The following is a 21,839-nucleotide window of genomic DNA, read 5'->3' as shown; positions in this document are numbered from 1 at the left end:
CCAGCTAACCCCAAGATTCTTGAGAGCAGCAGACTTGCCCTGCTGGGCCATCCTGCCCACAGTCCACCTGCAATCTGAGGAGCTAAATGGATGCTTCCCATAGAGTTCTGCTGAAAAGCTAGGGTTGTTTCCATCCAGTATGATTGGTAAAGTTTTTTTTTTTTTTTCAGAAGTATAAGCTCCTCAGGCCACAAGGAGGGCTCATAAGAAAGTAGCAGAGGGCCTTGCTCGTGTGAAGAGTAATTTTGAAAGAATATGGACAAATGGCAAAGACTTACTCTTGATGAACTCCTGGTCTCCAAGACGCAATATCACCTGGTGGCTCTCCTGGTCATATGTCACACCAGGACATGTAGCATTAGCCCAGGCTTCAGAGGGATCCATCCAGTCTTTGACATTACAAAGCAGGACACTGGGTGAGCTCAGCAACCCACAGATGATGGCACCTGAGAATCACAAGAGGTAGGAGAGGTCAGTGTGATGGAGGGGGACCTTTAGAGACTCTTCTCTGTCCCCTGAGAGCATTTGCAAATAAAGATAGGTGACAGCGTCTCAGGAGAAGACATAGACACTAGAATTCAAGAGCCTGGTTTTAAATTGAGACAATCCTGCCTGTGATTCCTGCAGTTGTCTTATTGGCAAATTTCCAAGGGGAGGGCCACCTTCAAGCCTACTGATCCTTTCCCTCCCTATGAGAGCTTTCCTTCATGGCATCCATAGCACTGACAGCACCTCCAACTTCCTGGGGGCATCACTGCCAGAATCCTCAGTCACCATGGTCTACACCTGCTGAACGGGGTGATTTTCCTGAGCTGCTGCTGCTTCAATTTCCTCTTCCTTTTTCTCCTCCCCTTCTGCCTCATTTCCCATCATATTCACTCTCTCTCTTTCTCTCTCTCTCGCTCTCGCTCTCACTCTCGCTCTCGCTCACTCTCGCTCTTGCTCTCGCTCTCTCACATGCACACACACACACAAGATCAACCTTGAAGGGTCTCATAAAGGAGTACTTAGATTCAAAGTAAGAAACTTTTTTTGGGGGGGGACGGAGTAAGAAACTATTAAAAACTAAGACCTATGCACCAATGACACATATTTCCCTGTTAGGAAGTGAGCTCCTCGTCTTTGGACATATCCAAGCAGAGACTGTGTGTCCATATGCCTAGGATGTGTGGAGAGAAATCTGTAACTAGGGGAGATGACATTGGACTCTTTTATCTTGAATATGTCTCCTGACTCTGAATTTTAAAAAGCTACCCAAAAATTATGACTTTGTTTAGCATCAGAAAGACCTACTCCCAAGGTAATCGAATTTGATAGTGATTTTAGCTGGATACATTCAAGTAACTCACACGTTTTTTTATATCTGCTATGTGCCAGCCACTGTGGTAAGTCTTTAAGTATATTAATTCCCTTAATTCTTATAGACATTATTATCTCCATTTTACTGATGAGGAAACTGAGTCTCATGTAAGTTAATTAAGCTGCTTGAGGATATTCAGATTTATAAATTTATATCTATGCCATTTGGATAAATAAACCTTTTAGGGAGTAGAGTTGTTCAGACTCTCCTGGAAAAAAAAAAAAGGGCAATATATTATCCCACAACTCCTACTCCATTCCTCATTCTAATTTCCTAATTTATGTCCAATCTGGATCTAGTTCAAAACAATTCTATCTCCAAAATTTCCCCAGAGTAGGTGACTCATGGATGTCTGGCTTAAAAATTTCACATTGTGTCCTTTTCTCTTCTGCTGGCCACTGTTAAACTGCAGTAGTTAAAAAACCAGCAGCAGTGAATCTCTGAATTTTTTTAAGTGGCCTTCCAGGTCATCTCATATGGTGGTTTCTGAACAAGGATGCTTAGACTGATGACATCAGAAATGCAGGGAGGGTTTTGAAAATGCTCATTTCTAGGTATCAACCACAGAGTTTCTGACTTGGTAGGTCACGTGTATGGGGCGGGGTGCATTTGGACATACATGTTTGTAAAGAGCACCATGGAGAATCACTGACCTAGTTAGACCACCTCGTTTTACAGATGGGGAAACCGAGGCACAGAAAGGAAGAATGGTTTGTCTAGGAGCTAAGAAATTGTGGAATGGCCAGCAGGCAGCAAGAGCCTCAGCAAGGTGCAGGCTTGAGGGCCGGCTGTGGAACGTGAGGGCAGCACCAGCAAGGGGCACACTCAGAGCCCAGGAGAGTTCGAGGAAGGCTGATCACTGTGGTCTGGCTCACTTGAAAGCCAGGAAACAGAATGATGGAATTAACAAGAGGCAGAGTGCGTTTTTCCTTTTGCTCTCAGACCTCAGTAGAGAAACCCATGCAGCTTTCCTCTTTAACTAGTGCCAAATGTCCCTGAGAAGGCTGTGCCTGAGAGGTAGGGGCCAGGGAGAGGCTGGAAGTCACTTTGCTGGTCATACATTGCCAGCTTAGCTTCAGTTGCACTCCTGTGACCCTGAGGCCATTCAAGGCCCTCAGAGCCCCACTTCCAAGCAGTCTCCACTAAAATGTAGTTCAGAAGCCCCATGAATTTTCATTAATAACTCTCAGTGGAAACAAAGCCTTAGAGGGGTGGAGATTGGAGGAGGCTAGAGACTTGTTGGGAGGGGAGAAAGGAAAGGAGGGGAAGGAGGGGAATCCACCAGAGCTAAATGACTTTCCAGACTGTGGTAAAGGATGTAGTGGAATTCTGTTCCTGGTCGTCAGCAGATCCAGCCAAATCTTCATAAGTTAAAACTCCAGATTTGCCCACTGGACAAGACTGGGGAAAACATCTGCCCGATACTTTATGTGTATCTCAAAGAAGGCTTGACTTTCAGCACTGCGAGGTGAGTGTTTAGTTCAACATAATTCACAGATCACAGGTTAAACTTGGAGGGAAAAGCAAGCAAGCTGCCAGCCAGAAATATCATGGAAAAAAAGGATTTTGTGGGCTTACCACTCCATGGAACAAAAACATTCTTCCATATATGATCCTAAGGAAAACGAAATCAACCTTTCCAGCTTGAAAAAAATCATATGGTCTGGTGAGTCATTGTGCATCTGGGGAAATTGTGGTATCTTCAGAAAATACATTTAGTTCAAAGAGGAATCCTGGATTTGAGTTATGTTGTTTCTAAATATAGATATACATCAAGACAAATATAGGGTGTGTGTGTGTGTGTGTGTGTGTGTGTGTGTGTGTAACATATTTTTCCTATCTAAACACTAACAGGAATCCACATCACATAATCATAGAACATTAAATGTAGAAGGAATTTTAGGAATCAGCTCATTCCAATCTGTGTTCCTGCCCCACCACTCCAACAAAACATTCTCATTTTAGCCACCTCAACCACTGTGAGCTAAACTCAGCATTTTTCAGGAATCACCTTGTTTGAACTCTCAGCAGCACTCAAGACTGTTGACAACTTCCTCACCATGCAACGCTCTCCCACCCTAGCTTTCGCGAGGATCCACTATCCCCATCTCCTTCTCCCCCTCTGGCTGCTCCTTCTCTATCTCTTTGCATATTCTCTACCTGTTATGTAGCTGTTCATCAAGATCAGCTCCATCCCCCTTTATCTCCTCATTCTGCACCCTCCTCCTAGAAAACTGCATTCATATCCACACATTTGATACCACCTCGAAGCTGTAATTTACACATTTATATCTCCCATCCACACTTCCCTTCTGAGCTCTCGATCTTTGCATCTAAAAACTCAGCTGACATTTTTTGGATGTCTCAAAAGTCACTTCAAACTTAGTATACCCCACATGGACCCACGGCCTTCCTAAATCTCCCTCTCCCATCGCCAAATTGGACATCCAATCTCTTTCATTCTTTGCCACACAACAGGTGAACAAGCTAGATACCCAAGAATAATCATTGACACCTCTTCCTCAACCCCCAAATTCAAAGTCTTATTGAATTTGCCTCCTGGGGATGCTTTAAATCTGTCTTCTATTCCCCCTCTCCACTGCAATAGCCCTAGCCCAGGATACCATACCTTCTACCCTGGACTACTGCGACAGTTTCTAACTCATCTCTGCATCTACTCTGACCCCTAGCCACAACCTTCTCCACATTCAAGCCATGACATGACAAGCGCTCACGTCAAAGTTCAAATCTGATCATGACACTTCCTTGCTTAAAACATTCAGTGGCTTCCAGTCGTTATTAGAATAAAAACAACTATTCATGCCGCCTACAAGGTTCTCCTCACTGTGGCCTGGCCTCTCCCTCCCGCCCCTTAAACCTCTGGCCTTGTACTCTCTGCTCCAGGGACCACGGCTTCCTCTAGGCTTCTCTTCTTTATCCTGCACCCTCTTCCCACAGGGACTTTGCATATGCTATTCTTTCCATTTAACATCACCTTCCCTCTTCTCTTTATCTCATTTAAACTACACATGATTCAAGATTTCGGAAAGTCTTAATTTATCTCTCTGAATGGGGCAAAAGACTTATTACATGTTTTCAATGCAATATTCACTTGTCTTCAGAGTCTAGCAATTAACAATTATCCTTTTCTCCCTCTGGACCTGAGAGGAGGAGGTGGAAACAGTGGGGGTGGGAGGGGGAGTAGAGCACAAGTGTCTATGTCATAAGTCAGGAAAGCCAAGTTCCCTTTGCTGACCACTGGAACACGGGCATCTGGCAGGTCACTTCCCCACTTTGGGGTCTGCCCAATTCAGCAGCATTCCTCTGCACCTACAGTGAGCATGGCTGTCCTAAAGGCTGAGGATAAATAACTCTTTCATAGCCTGGGGAGTTCGAATCCACCAGGGAGATGGATATGTGGACTTGGATACAAAAAGAAGGGACAAAATAGTACTCCAGGAGGAGGAAATCACAAGGAGAGCCTAAAGTTGAATAGGATGACTTGGAGGATGGGGAATCTAGTCAAGTAGTGGGGGTTGGTGGTGAGAGGCCAATTAAGAGACTGGTACAGGTGCCAAGAAAATAATAATACAGGCTTAAATGCAGACTGAGGTGACAGGGATGGAATACACCTCGATCTCAAACAAAATAATAAGAGAGCAACAGGAAATTGGAGTGACAGCTTCACAGAAGGGAAGAGGGCTGTGGGGCATTCAGCATGATCCCAGGTCTGTGGCTCAGGTGCCCTTCACTGAGATCGGCTGGTTTAGGGTAAAAACTATCCATTCATTTGACTTTGAGATTCCTAACGGATGTCCAAGAGGATATATCTGGACAGCAGATGCGTGTATGGATGTCGACCTCTGCAGAGAGGTCACACCCAGAACACAGACCCACAAGAGGTGGAGGTGGGACCTATCAATATCTAAGGATTCAACCCAGAAAGCTGAAGGAGAAGAGAAGGCACAGTTTAAGGAGCAAGAGAAGGGCATCTTGGAGGTCAGGAGAGGAGAAGGTGGAAATAACTGGACAGCAGGAAATAGTGACAGCTGCCAGAGACAACAGGCCTTCAGAGGATCAGAAGATGCCCCTGGTGACTGGAGAGCTGGTAGAAGCAGTTTGGGGGTGAGACAGGGTCTCAGCTTGCAGGGTCTGGCTGTGGTAGAGAAGGAGAGCAACCGGAAAGGCACTCGAGGGAAGGTCGGAGGTCATGGACTCTGTGGTGCCATGCACATGTTGGATTTTAAGAAGGGAGAAGGGCTAAGAACAATGTATCTGCCTTCTGCTGGGGAGCCCTGGAAAACACTGGGCTGGTGACAGGTGGAGAGCAGGGAGGAGGGCAGGGGCATTGTACTTGGCTGTTCTAGCAATGCTATAGAGAAATACCTGAGGCCGGGTAATTTATAAAGTAAAGAGATTTAATTGGCTCATGATTCTGCAGATAGTACAAGAAACATGGTGCTGGCATCTACTGCTGGTGAGGCCTCAGGAAGCTTACATTCATGACAGAAGGTGAAGGGGGAGCAGGCATGTTACAGGAGATCAGGAGTTAGAGAGAGGGGGAGGTGGCATATACTTTTAAGGATCTTGCAAGAAGAACTCACTCACTGTCACGAGGATAGCACCAAGCCATTCACCCCTGTTACCCAACACCTCCCACTAGGCCTCACCTCCAACACTGGGGATCACATTTCAACATGAGATGAGGAGGGACAAACATCCAAATTGTATCAGGCATGGGCCTGCAAAGGTAAGACAAGGGGCTCTTATACCCAGGAGGCAGGGTTAGTCCTTCTCAGAAGGAGACATCCTCTACCCTGAGCCTGGTGGGGATATTGTGCAGATGCTGGAGGCAGCAACAGTCCTCGAGGTGATACCAAAAAACACCTGCTTCCTGATCAGCTCCATGTCTCAGTTAATAGCCTTCAGAAAACCTGGGGTCTCTCTGTCTCTAGCTCAGCTCACAAGGACACCCACTCTGAACCAAATCCTCCCACTCTGTCATCTAAGTACTGCTCATCCCACAAAGCCTGGCCCAAGTTCCTCTTCTTCCTGGAAGCCTTCCCTGACCTTCCTCTTGTTATCCTCTTCCTTCACACTCCAAGACTTCTACGTCTCTACCTCATCAGGCATTTGCATCGCACACTGCCTAGTTCTCAAGCCTGATGCCGAGTAGTGCTCCAAACATGTTTGCTGAACGCCAGCAGCGATGAATAAATGAGTAAAGGCCATTTATTCCCCTTTCACGGTGCACACTGCCTCTCCCACCAGACCCAAAGTCCTTTTTATCTGTTTGTAATGCCTAGAACATTCCATTGCACATATATGGTGATCAATTGGAGTCTCCTGTTGACTTAAGTGAGAACCATAACAAGATATATCAGACTATTTCAATTTTTTCTAATCTTTAGAATTTTTCATAAATTTAATGTGACCAGTCACATAGTGGCTTACAGTTTGATGCTGCTAAGGAGAAACAGGATTGGTTTTCATATAAAACAGTTAAGACTCTCTTAGTCAATCAATGGCACACCAGGAGCCAAATCTATACGCAGCATTTTGCACTCATTATCTTTATAACAAGTAGTCCAGTAGAAAGTATCATTATCTCTATTTTATAAACAAGGGAAGTGCAACTTCATTAAGTAACTTGTCCAAGATCGCACAGCCAGAAAGTGACAGCAGTGACTAGAACCCAGGTCCATAACACCAAAGTCCCTTCTCAACCACTAGGCTACACTGCTGAGTACATGAATTTATTTCCATAAACAGAAGGGCACCTCCATTGCTGAGATACTATTCAAAATGATAGGCCTATTGATCACAGGACCTGGTATGCAGTGGGCACTCAATAGATCATTGTTGAATGAATGATGGTGGGAAATGGGAATGAGCTGACATTTTTGGACCAAATATGTCCAGTCCTGGCTTCACAAGTGACAGTAAGGTGCTGTGGAAGACACAACTTGGGTCAAATCCTGGCTCTATCACTTTTCAAGGTGTCTGAACATGAGCAAATGATTTAAATTATCTGAGCCTTAGTTTCTCAGTGTGTAAAACGGAGCTTGCAATATGCCCCGTAAAGACAGCAGAAAGGAATAAACCAGTATTACAAGGTGAAGGGGCCAGCACAGTGTGCAACATGTGGAATGTGAATGTGAGTATCATGTGTGTATTGTGTACTTGACTGTCACCTTCTCTTTGGGTGTAGGCACTCACACTGTACTCCCCATGCAGCTCCATGTTGTGTGTCCTGGCTTCTGCATCCCTGTGTGCTCCCCATCCCTTGTTAGGCCCTGGCCCTCACTGCCAACATTACCTCCTTGAACCTGTGTGAGGACGAAGCCATCGCAACACAGATCACGGTCGCATGCAAGAAGACAGAAGAGGTGAGCATCGGTTAGATTGGCTCCTGAGGCTGAGAACACAATGGGGTTGTACAATCCAGAAAGCATGTTTTGGAAACCAGTGGGTTCAAAGCGTTTCTGAAGTGTTGTGGTGGATCCTTGGCCTGGGGGAAAGGCAGAACAAAATTTTAAAAGACCTCAAAACATGGCAGAGTTGGACAGAGCTTACTGATCTCACAGGACAGTTTGTTGACTTAGCTGCAACAGTGCTCCAGGCAGCGTGTGGGCCAAGATGAGATGCTCTCTGTGCCACAAAGCTTCTGGATGTGCCTGTGCATGAAGAGGGTGGGGCCAGCCAAGGCCATGGCCCCAAACCCAGGAGATCGGGACAAATGCCCAACACGTCTTCAAGGGTCCAAAGGGTATGTGTAGAAAATGGCCATATATTTTTATGTTTATTATTACCAGCAAATATGTATTGCACTGTAAGTATATACACAGACCCTGTGCCACATGCTCTACCTACGTGGTTTCATTTGATTTTCACCGCCTTGCTCTGCTATCACAAGTGTTTCTGTCACACAAATTAGTTTAAACATGTGGTAGGGAAGCTTGGCCACTGTAATGCTGAAGTCACATTGCTTGCACTATCTACAGTTTTCTGAGCATGTCATTGCCTTGTGCCACCAAACATCATTAAAGGAATGCTCTGTAGACAAATGCAGCTGAATGCAACAAACTGCAAGAACTCAGGACTGTACACAATACCCATGATCCCACATTCTTCCTCTTGCCTGAAACTGGCCCCACCCAGGGGCTGTCTTCAAAGTGACCATTGCAGAGTTTTCCCTTCCCTTTGTGCAAGCAGCCCTTGTCTCCATAACTCAGCAGCCTCAACCCTTCCTTACACCCTCCCCATCAAGCTACCTTGCTCTTTTACATTTTCAGAAGCATTTCTTTATTATGAATTCAAAACATCTTTTTAAAAACTGTTCTAGCATTTTTAAGTAGAATTGTTAATGTTTTTTTCCATTGGTCTACCTAAAAGTGGCACGGTTTGGGTTTCCCGTCCCTAAGTCTAGTTTTCAAATCAGCCCTGTTAATTTTAGAGTGTCACTTTGCAAACATGAGATTTTTCAGGGATAGATATATAGAGCACTATAGCCTAAATGTCTGCCCCATTCTTATGCCCATTTTCCATTTGAGGAAAAGTCTTGACATGCGAACTGTCTGGCTCGGGTTTACACAGCCAGTGAGTGGTGGACAGAACACCAGGGCCTGTGCCCTTCACCACTCTGACCTCCCGTCAGTCTGGCAGATCACCCCATCTTATTTGACTCACACAGCTGGACGTCATAGAGAGGTTTTCAGTGTGAGACCCAAGAGCACGAGCTTCAGATCAAACAGATCTGAGGTCACCCTGCCAAGGAAGTCCCTAATTCCTTGGATCCTCAGCCTCCCAAGCTTCCCATCTGTACAATGAGGATGATAATAAGTAATCCTCAAGGACATTGAGCAGGTAAAAAAAACATATACTGGGGCCGGGCATGGTGGCTCATGCCTGTAATCCCACCACTTTGGGAGGCCAAGGTGGGTGTATCACTTGAGGTCAGGAGTTCAAGACTAGCCGGGCCAAATGGTGAAACCCCGTCTCTACTAACAATACAAAAATTAGCCAGGTGTGATGGTGCACGTCTGTAGTCCCAGCTACTCAGGAGGCTGAGGCAGGAGAATCCCTTCAACCTGGGAGGCAGAGGTTGCAGTGAGCCGAGATCCTGCCATTGCACTCCAGTGTGGGCAACAGAGTGAGACTCCATCTTAAAAAACAAACAAACAAACAAAAAAAAAAAACCCCATAGACTATATATAAAAGGGCTGAACAACAATGAGCCTGCCACTTAGCTTATGCTCAGCAGATGTTTTATGTATCTCCAAAAAGCCAGCGTCTTCTCCCTCCAAGCATTGGCTCACTCAGCCCCTTCTGCCTCGAATGCAAATCCACTCTTCACCAAAGCCCAGCTTTATTTGAAGGGTCCATCTCTGCATTTGTACAGTTAGAATTCATCTCTCTCTCCCTTGATCCCTCATACATTCTTTTTGTGCCTGTACTAAACCCTCTACCGTCCCTCTCCCTGTATTTAAGCTACTTGAGAGAGTCGGCCTCCCCTACAGCATGTGATTCTCCAGTGTTTGATGCCGTAATTATAGCCTTATGTGACTATTTAAAAATCAATGTCAGTTAATCAAAGTTAATATTGCAATAGCAACCTTCCAAATGCTCAATAGTCATGAGTAACTAATGGACAGCACAGATTTGTAGACCGTTTCCATCACTGCCAAAGGTTCCATTGGACGGTGCTGCTCTGGAGTCCAGGGCCACATCTCAGCTCCCCTTGGTATCTTCCACATAGGGCACCTATCCTGAGAGCTTTGCATGGTGGGCTGCTTTTTTTTTTTTTTTTTTTTTTTGAGACTCCTGCTGTTGCCCAGGCTGGAGTGCAGTGGTGCAATCTCGGCTCACTGCAAGCTCCACCTCCTGGGTTCATGCCATTCTCCTGCCTCAGCCTCCCGAGTAGCTGGGACTACAGGCGCCCGCCACCACACCCAGCTAATTTTTTGTATTTTTAGTAGAGACAGGGTTTCACTGTGTTAGCCAGGATGGTCTCAATCTCCTGACCTCGTGATCTGCCTGCCTCGGCCTCCCAAAGTGCTAAGATTACTGGCGTAAGCCACTGCGCCTGGCCGATGGGCTGCTTTTCATCCTTCAGATCAGAGTTCCAATGTCCCCTCCTCTGTGATTCCTTCCCTGACCACCCTGAAGCAGCTCATACCCGTCTTTACCTCCTCGTCCTGTTTCATTTTCATCCAAGCACCTACTGCCCTCTGAGATGATCTTATTGCTGGTTCTATTCCCCTATCAGTGATTCTGTTTTGCTCACAGATGTATCCACAGTGCCTACAAAAGTGCTTATTGCACCGCAGTGGTAGAAGCCTAGACAATGAAGCAGGCCAGGAAGGCCTTTCAGACTCAGAGGAGGTTCCACTTTGATGTCACATGTAGTAAGATGGTTCCTTTTCCTAGACCTCATCTGTGAGATGAGGGGTTGGGCTAGATAATCTCTAAAGAACCTTTGGGCACTGACATCCTTTGATTCTGAGAGACCCCACGACTCATCCCCCAAGTTGAAGGCCACAGACATTAAGTGGGAGTAGGCAGCAGAGGGTATTGGGTGACAGATCAAGCTCTGGGACTCAGGCCCTTTCTTTAGTCCCACTGAAGGTTACTGAAGGTCAGAGATGGGAATGGACATGATTAACTACCTACTGCGAGCTGAAGATGTGTGTGGGTGACTTTCAGAAACTGTGTCCTGTCCTCCTCGGTTGTGACACAGTCCCATTTTACAGAGGAGAAACTGAGTTTCAAGTGAAATAAAGAAGTTGTTCCTGATCAGAGACAGAGCCAGGAAGAGGGAGGCGGGAGTTGGAAGCCAGACCCAACTTACTCCTCCTCCCCTCCTCCTCCACTCCACCCGGGTCTAGAACGGCTGCCGGGCACATCTTCTGCTTTAAACCAAAAAGGAAAACAAACCAAAAAAAGCAAAACATAGTTCTGCCCTTGATTTAGTTTGGCAACAAGGAATTTTCCCAATTTCCTTTGTAACTTTCCCCCAAAGTACAAACTTTCAGGAGACAAAAAGGAAAAATAAAAATAACAAACACTAGGACTTTCTGTGTGATGTTGAAAAAAAAAATAAACACTTAAACAGAAATACAATTGCATTTTTTAAAATGTCATAAAAGGGTAAGTCATGATTTTAAAGGACATTTTGGGTAGGGGTTACTGTTCTATTTTGATTTTTATTTTTAGAAAATAATCCCTATGTTTTGTTATTTAAAAAGAAAAACAGGACAATGAAAATAATTGGAATAAAGATTGCAGCAGAAATTCTAGTGACCCTGGTCACTAGATTAGAGAGATCCGAGTGACCCTAGTCACTAGATTAGAGAGATCCGAGTGACCCTGGTCATAGATTAGAGAGAGCCGAGCTCTGCCAGATTCCAATCTCCCAGGCAAACTCTTTGTGAAGTGGGGATGAAGGCATTAGGTGAAAGAAGGACCACAGGGAAAAATACACAAACACTTGTCCCTGCTGTGGGCTCGCAATTGCTACCAAGGTCAGGGCAGCTTTGGGCCTGGGCTGTGGCATCGTCTCCACTTGCTGATTTTCCTGGCACAAGTCTGAAGCTGCTGGAAGCCCCGAGCCACTTGCCCTGAGTTACGAACCTCAGAGAGTGACACCTGTACTCCCCTTCTCCCAACCCCCAAGTCCCAGGTCGAGCCCCCTTTGGCTGTCATCTGGTGCACAGCCATGGCCTCGGGCCCTCAGGAAACTTTTTAGCAGGAACAAAGATGATTACAGAAATGTTCTACACTCGCTGAGCTTTCCCCATGAGCCCAGCCCTGTCCTAACAGTTTCACATGTGTCACCTCATTCCAATCTGCCGATGACCTTGGTCCACCATGACTCCTGTTTTACTAAGGAGGAAACTGAAGCTGAGAATGTCAAGGAACAGGCCCAAGACCATGCAGCTCATATGTGGCAGAGGAGGGGTTCCACACAGGCAGGCGGGCCCCACCGTCCTCCCTTGCTCTGCAGCCCTTAACAGCTATGAAGGAACCACAGGTCACAGGTCAGAGCCTGGCCATGGCCCAGAGCGCATGGCTCAGAGCGTGCCTTGCTGGCATGTTTCCTTTCCACCCCACCGGAGAGGAGGCAGGGGGTGAGCAGGGTGGGGCAGAAGAGCGAGCGCAGACCTCAGGATTCCAGGGAAAGAGTTCCTGCCTCTCCCACGTGCCAGCAGCGGCCCAGAGGACTTCCTTATGTGTACATGGGGATTGGAATCCCCTTTGTGCCTTTCTCCAAGAGTTTCCATGAGTGTGAAATGAAAAGATGAATGAGAAAGGAAGTCATAAACTATACAGTACGACACAGCTTGCTACTCAAAGTGTGGTCCCCGGACCAGCAGCACTGGCACTCTCTAAGGGGTGATTAGAAAGGCTAGATCTCGGCCTGACACCAATGATTTACTAACTCAGGTTTGCACCTTACAGGGCCTGGGTTCACTGGGAGGAAAACGTCCTGGGAGGGTAGAGATTAAGTGAGGAGAAGGAGAAGCTCTATGAATCAGAAAGCCCGGGAGGAGCAGCTGCTGGGAGCCCGGCACCCAGGCCCCAGTGAGCAGTTTGCCCAGCCTCTTGGGCCGCATGGGCCTTCCAGACGGCACAGGCTGAACTCAGCGGGTTCTGCCAAGATCCTTCACTTCGTAGCTTTGTGTCCACTCTGCAACTTAGCTCTGCCTGCAGAATGAGGCTCTCAATCCTTGCTAGATTGCAATGGGATCAAACCTGAAGGCACAAAGGAGAATGATGTGGAAATATCTTTGCAGTCCCAGGGGAGATCAGTGCCTGCCTGAGGAGCGTGCTGTGCTGAGTCTGCCAAAGGATGGAGCTCAGAGAAGCCAGACTGAGGGTGTGGAGTGGGGAGCGGGACAGTCTGGCTCCTCCTCACATGCACCTGCTGGAAACCAGCTCCAAACATGACCGTGTGAAGCCACCGCGGGCCTAAGCCAACCAGCCTGACCAACCTACCCTTTTTCAAATACACAGCTGGAGAATCTTGACCATGGCTCCTCACTTTCACCTGGCAGCGAAGACTTCCAAAGCTGGTGGCCTTTGAGTTCCCCAGTGCATCTCGTTTCTGGAGATGGAAAGATGCTGCATTATTATCCTGCAATACTTTATAATTCAATCCAACAAACATTCATCCAACCCTAACCATGGCTAGGCACCAGGGCTACAAAGGTAAGTTAGTTGCTCCTGGTCTATTGGAGGAGACAGATGTGTAAGCAGTAACTTGCAGCCAGGAGTGTTAGCTGCAAAGATACATATAATTAAAGAAGAGGTAATTAGAGAGGAAGGAGCAATTGATTCCATTCAGAAAGAGAAGCTAGAAAAGTTTCCCAGAAAAAGTGAGTCTGAGTGAGGTTCTGAGATATTAATGAGTTTGCTGGGCTGGGTGCAGTGGCTCACACCTGTAATCCCAGCACTTTGGGAGGCCGAGGCGGGTGGATCATTTGGGGTCTAGAGTTCAAGACCAGCCTGACCAACATGTTGAGACCCCATCTCTGCTAAATACAAAAAAAAAATTAATCGGGTGTGGTGGCGTCTGCCTGTAATCCCAGCTACTCAGGAGGCTGAGGCGAGAGAATCACCTGAACCTGGGAGGCGGAGGTTGCAGTGAGCCTAGTTTGCACCACTGTACTCCAGCCTGGACGACAGAGTGAAACTCTGTCTCAAAAGAAAAAAAAAAAAAAAAGAGTTTGCCAGATGGAAACAAGAGAGGGCTGATTTTAAGCAGAGGAAACAGCAGACTCAGGGACCCAGAATTTCATGGGTGTTTTCAGAACTAGGTTCAGTAATTCAGTAATTTTTGGACTGTCAGTTATGAGAGGGGAGTGACGGGAGAGGAGAGAGAGGCTGGAGCTGGCTATGAAAGACCTTACAGGCACTTAGTTTCTATCCAGGGAGTATCTAGAAGAAGGTTCTTAAGCTCGGAGATGGTGAGGTCAGACTTCCAGAGATCTTGCAATTCTTGGCCCTTTCTGATCTCTCTTTCTGACTTACTTTCAGCAGTCTTGCTATGTGGATGAGGTAGGATAAATTGGTGTGTTTTGTTCCCAGTATTTTGCCTTCCCCCGCAAGGCTGCCAAATTTTGAGTTTCCTGTGGGAATTTTTGGAGGACAGGGGCTACAGCAAGGCTGTTTGAAGGCAACAGCTCTTCTTGCTTTGCAGAAAGCCTGAACTCACTGAAGAGGCAATGGCCTGGGGAGAGGAGGAAGAGCCTTGGAGAGCAAAAAGAAAGAAGACATTCCCGCAGACCTGAGAAGAGCTCGTGTTTATGCACGAGCACGTGTTTATGAATTGGGAAATTAGGAGACAGGAGACTCCTGCTTTCCACTGGAGGAGGACAGGGTCTAATTATCCTAATTTGATGGTACCACATGAAACTGACAATACTCTATAAGCTTTGACTCACAGAACAGCAATGTTATGTGGTTCTAATATTTAACTTGTTTTCCTTTTTAAGCCACAATTATAGGTTTTTTTGTTTGTTTTTTTGATGGAGTCTTCACTCTGCAGCCCAAGCTGGAGTGCAGTGGCGTGATCTCAGCTCACTGCAACCTCCACCTCCCGGGTTCAAGCGATTCTCCTGCCTCAGCCTCCCCAGTAGCTGGGATTACAGGTGTCCACCACCACACCCAGCTAATTATTTTGTATTTTTAGTAGAGACAGGGTTTCTCCATGTTGGCCAGGCTGGTGTCGAACTCCTGACCTTAAGTGATCCACCCGCCTAGGCCTCCCAAAGTGCTAGGATTACAGATGCGAGCCACCGTGCCCTCCAACCACGATTATGTTTTATTTCTACAATGGAAAGGCATATTCGGGTCTGGGACCCCAAGGGGCAGTGGTGTTTAGGGCCCCCTCACATCTTGCCCACACTGCCTGATGGGGCAGGTGGTTCTCTCCTGACTGACTCGTCAGGAAGCCACAAGGCTCAAGCAGACGCCCCTTACTCCAGCTTCATCTTGGGTCTGTCTCTGGACTATCACAGCTTCAATTTGCCAAAGTCCCATTGCTTTGAAGAAATGGAGGTAACAGAGGATCAGCTCTCGACAACCTCATTCCATCGCCTGGCCAGCCTGCTGCCCGCTCCTCAGAGCACATCTGATCCACAGCGGATGAGGAGCAGAACCACACGTGGCTGCCCCACCTCACCTGGTCAGAAGTCATGCAGGCAACATTGTCACTTGTCCAAGCATAGAAATCACAGGAAATCTCTGGCTCCGTCGTGGACACGGTGAAGAAGCTGCAGGCCTCGTCCTCTGTGCAATCTGCAAGCACCATGGGACGGTCACTCACCTGGCTTTCCCGGGGGATGCTGAGGGCAGAGCAGACACATCCCCCTGCCCCTGCCCCACATGCCCAAACACACACACACACACACACACACACACACAAATATGCAGATACACAAATACACACACCCCCCTCCAAATACACAAATATACACACACACAGGCACACACACCTCCAAACACACAAAGACACACAAATATACACCTAAAGACACACAGACACACACAAATATACACCAAAATAAACACATACCTCCAAATAAACACCCAAACACACACACAAATACATAGAAATACACATTCAAATACACACACCTCCAAATACACACACACACAAATATACACCCAAATACACCCCCCAAATATACCCCCACAAGCACACATATAAGCACACATTTATTAAGTACGTACCATGAACCTCATGCAGTGTTAAGTGTTTTCTGTGTATTGAATCATCGATCCCCCATCTTACAGTTAAGGAACTGAAGCACAGCTCCGTTCAGGCACTTACTCACGGAGGTCACAAAGCTACCAAGTGGCAGAGCTAGGATTGAAATCTAAGTAGTCAGACTTCAGAACTTGTACAGTTACTAAGCTGTATCTGCCTAAATTAAACCTTTTATACATTTTAATTGCTTCTATTCTATGAGGAGCCAAATCTAGGTATCCATTGAGATCACAACTTTGTTCAAGGCTATGTCCCATTTCCATCAGGAGCAGACAGCAGCCCTGCAAGGGATTGAATGATAGAATAGAATCCCCACTTCCTACAGTGAGTGCCCTCTCAAGATGACAGGAGGCCATGCGCTTAATGAGGGCAGGGACCACAGCTGCTTTCTGTGGACACTGTGTGATAGGCATGAAGCATTCAACTGTGTAATATTCATGAGTAACGATGGCAATTAATGATTTAACAGGGATAGGAGGTTTTGGTAGAAAATGTAAATTAAGGAGAAAAAGCATACACTTACACATTTATCATTACAAAGCACTTTCACATATATTATTAATACTGATTTTTGCATTAGGTAAGAGGTAAATTTAGAGATGGGAACACCAAGACTAAAAATCAGCACAGTCTGTGGCTGATGGGAGCAAAGCAGTAACTTGAATACCTTTGCAATCCAATTCCTGAGCCCTTCCCCCTGTATTTGCCCAGCTGAAAGGCGAGGGAAAGCCACTGGTATCTGGGATAGAGATGTCTTCCTTTTCTCTAACAGGACATCTCACAAACTGCAGCTCTATTGAGATGACATTCTTGGGTGCAGAGGTGGTCTTCTGGGGGTTTTCATCATCTCCTGATTTTCATCTCAGCATTGTATGGCTGTAATGTCTTTTATGAACTAGGCACTGAGAGGTCGATGATGTCATTTTACCCAGAAACTGTGTGGCTTATTCAGAACACCCCCCCCAAAAAAATAATTCTGTTTTAAAATATTTTTTGAGACAGGGTCTGGCTCTGTTGCCCAGGCTGGAGTGCATTAGCACGATCTTGGCTCACTGCAACCTCTGCCTCCTGGACTCAAGCCATCTTCCCACCTTAGCCTCTCAAGTAGCTGGGATTACAGGTACGCACCATCACGCCTGGCTAATTTTTGTATTATTATTATTTTTATTTTTTTGTAGAGATGCAGTTTCACCACATTGCCCAGGCTGGTCTCCATCCACCTGCCTCGGCCTCCCAAAGTCCTGGCATTACAAGCATGAGCTACTGTGCCCAGCTCCAAAGAAAATAATTCTTACTGGTCCACTGGCTCATGGCTCTAAAGTTCTCCTGTCCCCTTAACTGAACTAACCTAATCTTCACGGCAAGCAGATCCCTGCTTCGGGCTCAGGGACAAATTCAGTCAAGAAAACAATTAAAGTTCTGAGTCAGTGTTAGAAGGATGAGCACCCTAGACCCTGGCTGGTTAAGTGCTGAACTAGAACCAGGGTTCCTACCATGACCCCAACCATAGCTTCCCCTCACACCCCCAACAATCCACATTTCTCTCCTATTCCTGATCATGCTACTTAGTTCTCTAGATGCCTTGGTTTTCTTACCAGTCTCCCCTTTCCCCACCAACAATGATATCCAACCCTTCATTGACTCAGTGGCTTTATTTTCCTACCCCTTAAATGGCCCTTCGATCTACCGTAAAACCACCTTGATTTTTCATTATGGGCTGAATTATGTTTTAAACTCACAATTTGTATCATGTAGTCCTTCCCCAAGCACCACAGAATGTGACTGCATTTGGAGTTAGGGTCTTGAAAGAGGTAAATTAAGTGCATAATGAGATCATTAGGGTGGGCCCTAAGGCAATAGGACTGGTGTCCTTATGAGAAATAAAGATTAGGATACAGACACATACATAGGGAAGACCAAGTGAAGTCACAGGGAGAAGTGAGTCACCTACAAGCCCAGGAGAGGGGCCTCAGAAGCAACCAACCCTGCCAACACCTTGATCCTGGACTTCTGGCCTCCAGAATTACAAGAAAATCCATTTTGTTGTTTAAGTCCCCCAGTCTACGGTATTTTGTCCCAGCAGCCCAAACAGACTAACACAGTGCTGGATGCCTGCCTGGACCTGTACTCAACCTGCAAATACTGCTTGTCTTGGATTGCTCTGCTCTCGTTTGTCTGATAGGATGGCATCTTGCTGGACCTCCTTGATGTGGCTCTCTTTTTTCTAACTGTTGTCTGTTTTCTCTCAGCATATTTTAGACACTGAACTCAGTGGCCCAGTTGGCTAAACCATCTCTGGACATGAACAGATGGACGTGTTTTCCCTGCTTGCCTCACTCCCTAAGATTCTGCATCCTCTTTTGCTTCCCATCCCACCAGTTTGCCCTTCCTTTTTTTTTTTTTTTGACGGAGTTTCACTCTTGATGCCCAGGCTGGAGTGCAATGGAGCGATCTCGGCTCACTGCAACCTCCACCTCCCACCAGGTTCAAGCAATTCTCCTGCCTCAGCCTCCTGAGTAGCTGGGATTACAGGCACCCACCAACATGCCTGGCTAATTTTTTGTATTTTTAGTAGAGACGGGGTTTCACCATGTTGGCCAGGCTGGTCACGAACTCCTGACCTCAGGTGATCCACCCCCGCTCAGTCTCCAAAGTGCTGGGATTAGAGGCGTGAGCTACCACGCCCTGCCTGCCCTTCTAACTTAAGCTGTGTCACAGTGCACGCACACATGAGCAGGTATATGACAATCCCTGTTGAGACAAATAACTGCCAAAGCTGTCCCTCAAGTCTGCCATCCTCATGCTGATTCCTCACATCTACTCATTTGACCACTTGGTTCTGTCCCTCCATTCCTGTCAATATCTCTCATTCTACAAATATTTCCTCCAGCTTCTACTTCATGCCTTGCACTGTGTTTGTGAAACAAACTATAGTGTGCTCACCATAACCAAAGCTGATATCCAAAACAGATTCACACTCAGAGTGTTAATTACTTAATAACTACATCACATGTGGGTACTGAGGCAGGCATAATGCAGTGTTAAAATGGCAAAAATAGACACTGGGGACTACTTGGGGGGAATACAGAGAGGAGCACAGGGTTGTAAAACTAACTATTGCGACTACGCTCACTACCTGGGTGAGGGACTCAATCGTACCCCAAGCCTCGGCAGTATACCACATACCCATATAACAAGCCTGCATGCACACCCCCTAAATCTAAAATCAAAGATGAGATTATTTTTTAATATTTTTTATTTCAATAGCTTTTAGGATGCAAGTGGTTTTGAGTTACATGGATGAATTGTATAGTGGTAAAGTCTGAGATTTTCGTGCACCCCAAAGATAAAATCATTTAAAACAAAAAAAGACTGCAGGCTTTGATGTTGTTACTTTGGGTTTGAATTTAAGCCCTGACCCCTTGCTGGTTCTATGTCAGTGAGCAAGTCACTTACACTCTTAAAACTATTTTTGTCTTCTGTAACTCAGGATAGCAATGGCCAGTTTATGGGTGGCTTTGGGATTGTGAGATAATCCTTGTAAACATACATTGCTCAATAAATGGCAGCCTTTATTACCACCTCTCTGGCCCCACTGTTAAAATAGGGAGATATAGATCCTGACCTGGACACATAGATCTATGCCAAACTAATTTTGTTCATTTCTACTCCTTAACATGTGCCATGTGGATAGCATACAGTAGATAAACTGTCAACTCTGCAATTAAGTTATGAATTGAATATGCATTCTGGAAATCAATTCATTTATAGTGTTTTTGATAAAGTATGTTTTTAAATTATAGTTTTAATGGTTTGATTTGGTTTGTCTCGACAACTCTCAGCAGAGCTTATTTCCACACCTTCTTCTGAGTGCATATCTCCCCACCACTCCTCACCTGTCAAGCACTGCATCACGGGGAACTCAGAATCAGGAACTTTGGATCTGACAGCCACAGGAGCATTGGCGTCGAAGATCACCTTTGATTCTGGAACCTTCTCAAACTTCTGCATCACTAAAAATAAAGCAGATTTAGTAAATCTGACTCAGAAGGGTGTAGGGCATCTGCAGAGAAGCCATAAAGACTGTTAGGTCAAGCAGTCAATACCCATTCGTAGCTCTTGGTAACACAAATGTCCCAGGAAAAGCAATTCCTTTGTAAGGTAGCTCCAACATACTGCTCCATATCTAAAACTGAGAGTTACAACTTACCAGCTCTCCCTGCTTCTACCTCATTGTCACGAAGTGAGGCGGAAATTTAATGTTAGTCCTTACAACTATTTTCTTCTCATTAACATTGATAATATAAACTTATATTTCTCTGTCCCTATCCTTCAGTGCTAATTACATCATATAACTATTTTACTGGCATTTTCTTTCTGTAAAACAACTTGAATTCTTTCCGAAATGAGGTAAGTTATTTTTTAAAAGACATGTGCATATGTATTTAGGTAAATCTGAAGACATGTCATGTGGCTCAGGCATTTTTAAGATTGGTTAAGTGATTTATTAGCATCTGTTTTCCTAGCTACCATCAACACACTTGAGTTCCATTTGATAGGAATAACAGTCACAAGCTCATAAAACTAGACAAGTGAGGAGGAAGAAATATAATTTCTCAGGGCTATGAGAGTTGGAACTTTTTCTTCACCAAGCAAAAAAGAAAGCATGGAGGCTAACTCTCAAGGAATGAGATTCACCTTCCAAGCCACAAATTCCCAAGAGTGTCAATATCTTGCAGTCTTACGGGTAACTGTCAAAAAGAAAAACTTATGTACAACCTCAAAGGCACATGAGTATTGGTTTTTTGCAAACATAATTATAAACATATATACAAGCACTAATTATGTACATCCATTGCTTTATTAAAAAAGACTTATATCTAGATGGGTTTTCATCAAGTCAATAAATTCAAGGCCATCCAAAGTGATTTTTTCTCAGCTTTCATAATAAGTGCAGAAAAAAAATGTTTATTCCTTTTGGGATTGGGTTGAGAGAAGTGAGCATTAATGACATGCTCGGCCAGGCGCGGTGGCTCAGGCCTGTGATCCCAGCATGCTCTAAGCCTTCAAAAGTGTTGATAGAGAAAAGAATTCTGATTTTACAAACTGGCCCATCCATGTTAATTGCTGAAGTTGCCAATTTCACGTGCTCTGCCCACACAAAGCCCTTCTTCTCTCATCTCTTTTTATATTTTTATACCCTTTAGTAGCTCATTTGTAGAGACTGCAAGCTCCAGTCCAGCAAATGCCATGTTATAATCATCACAGTGTCCCTAAGTCTTGATTGGTACAGACCAGATGCTCAAAATATTCTAGGAGACTAAATACAATTTGAAAGGTCTTTCAGTTTCTAATTAAATTCTGCCAAAAATACAGTAAATTTAGCACTTCAGTTAGAGAATCTGCTGGTTTTCAGAAAAGAGACACCTTGGTGATAGAGATCTTCACATTTCAGCATTCTGTGAAGAAGCTCATGGCCAAGCAGAACAGAAACAATCCATGAACCAATTTGCCAATGAATTATGACAATGGAGTCAGTTTGCATATTTATACATTCTGTTGGTATAATTTCCCATTTATCCAATTTATACTTAACGGCTATTTACAAATGTCTTAAGGAAAGCATAAAAGGTTAACATTAAAGCACAGTATATATTAATATTTCATCATTTTTGCATAGTTTATTGTGGCTACTTAGGTTCCCAT

The 21,839-nt window shown here is 45.4% G+C and overlaps 1 protein-coding gene across 13 annotated transcripts in view; it reads right to left on the bottom strand.

Annotated features, from left to right (window-relative positions):
• TG (thyroglobulin) overlaps positions 1 to 21,839 on the bottom strand; it is a 267,942-nt gene that overhangs the window by 185,678 nt on the left and 60,425 nt on the right. For 12 of the 13 annotated variants that reach the window (NM_003235.5, XM_017013794.2, XM_006716622.4 and 9 more), the window contains 5 exons: positions 20,030 to 20,146; positions 15,546 to 15,661; positions 13,358 to 13,466; positions 7,680 to 7,871; positions 279 to 446 (listed from right to left, as the gene is read on the bottom strand). In NM_003235.5, the coding sequence (NP_003226.4) occupies positions 279 to 446; positions 7,680 to 7,871; positions 13,358 to 13,466; positions 15,546 to 15,661; positions 20,030 to 20,146 (702 nt within the window). The remainder of the gene's footprint in view (positions 1 to 278; positions 447 to 7,679; positions 7,872 to 13,357; positions 13,467 to 15,545; positions 15,662 to 20,029; positions 20,147 to 21,839) is intronic. The other variant, XM_005251038.5, reaches the window with a different exon arrangement.

This window comes from Homo sapiens, chromosome 8, assembly GCF_000001405.40.
Source record: "Homo sapiens chromosome 8, GRCh38.p14 Primary Assembly".
NCBI lineage: Eukaryota > Metazoa > Chordata > Mammalia > Primates > Hominidae > Homo > Homo sapiens.
Note: the sequence above shows the minus strand (reverse complement) of the source record. Positions and strands in the feature narration are given on the sequence as shown.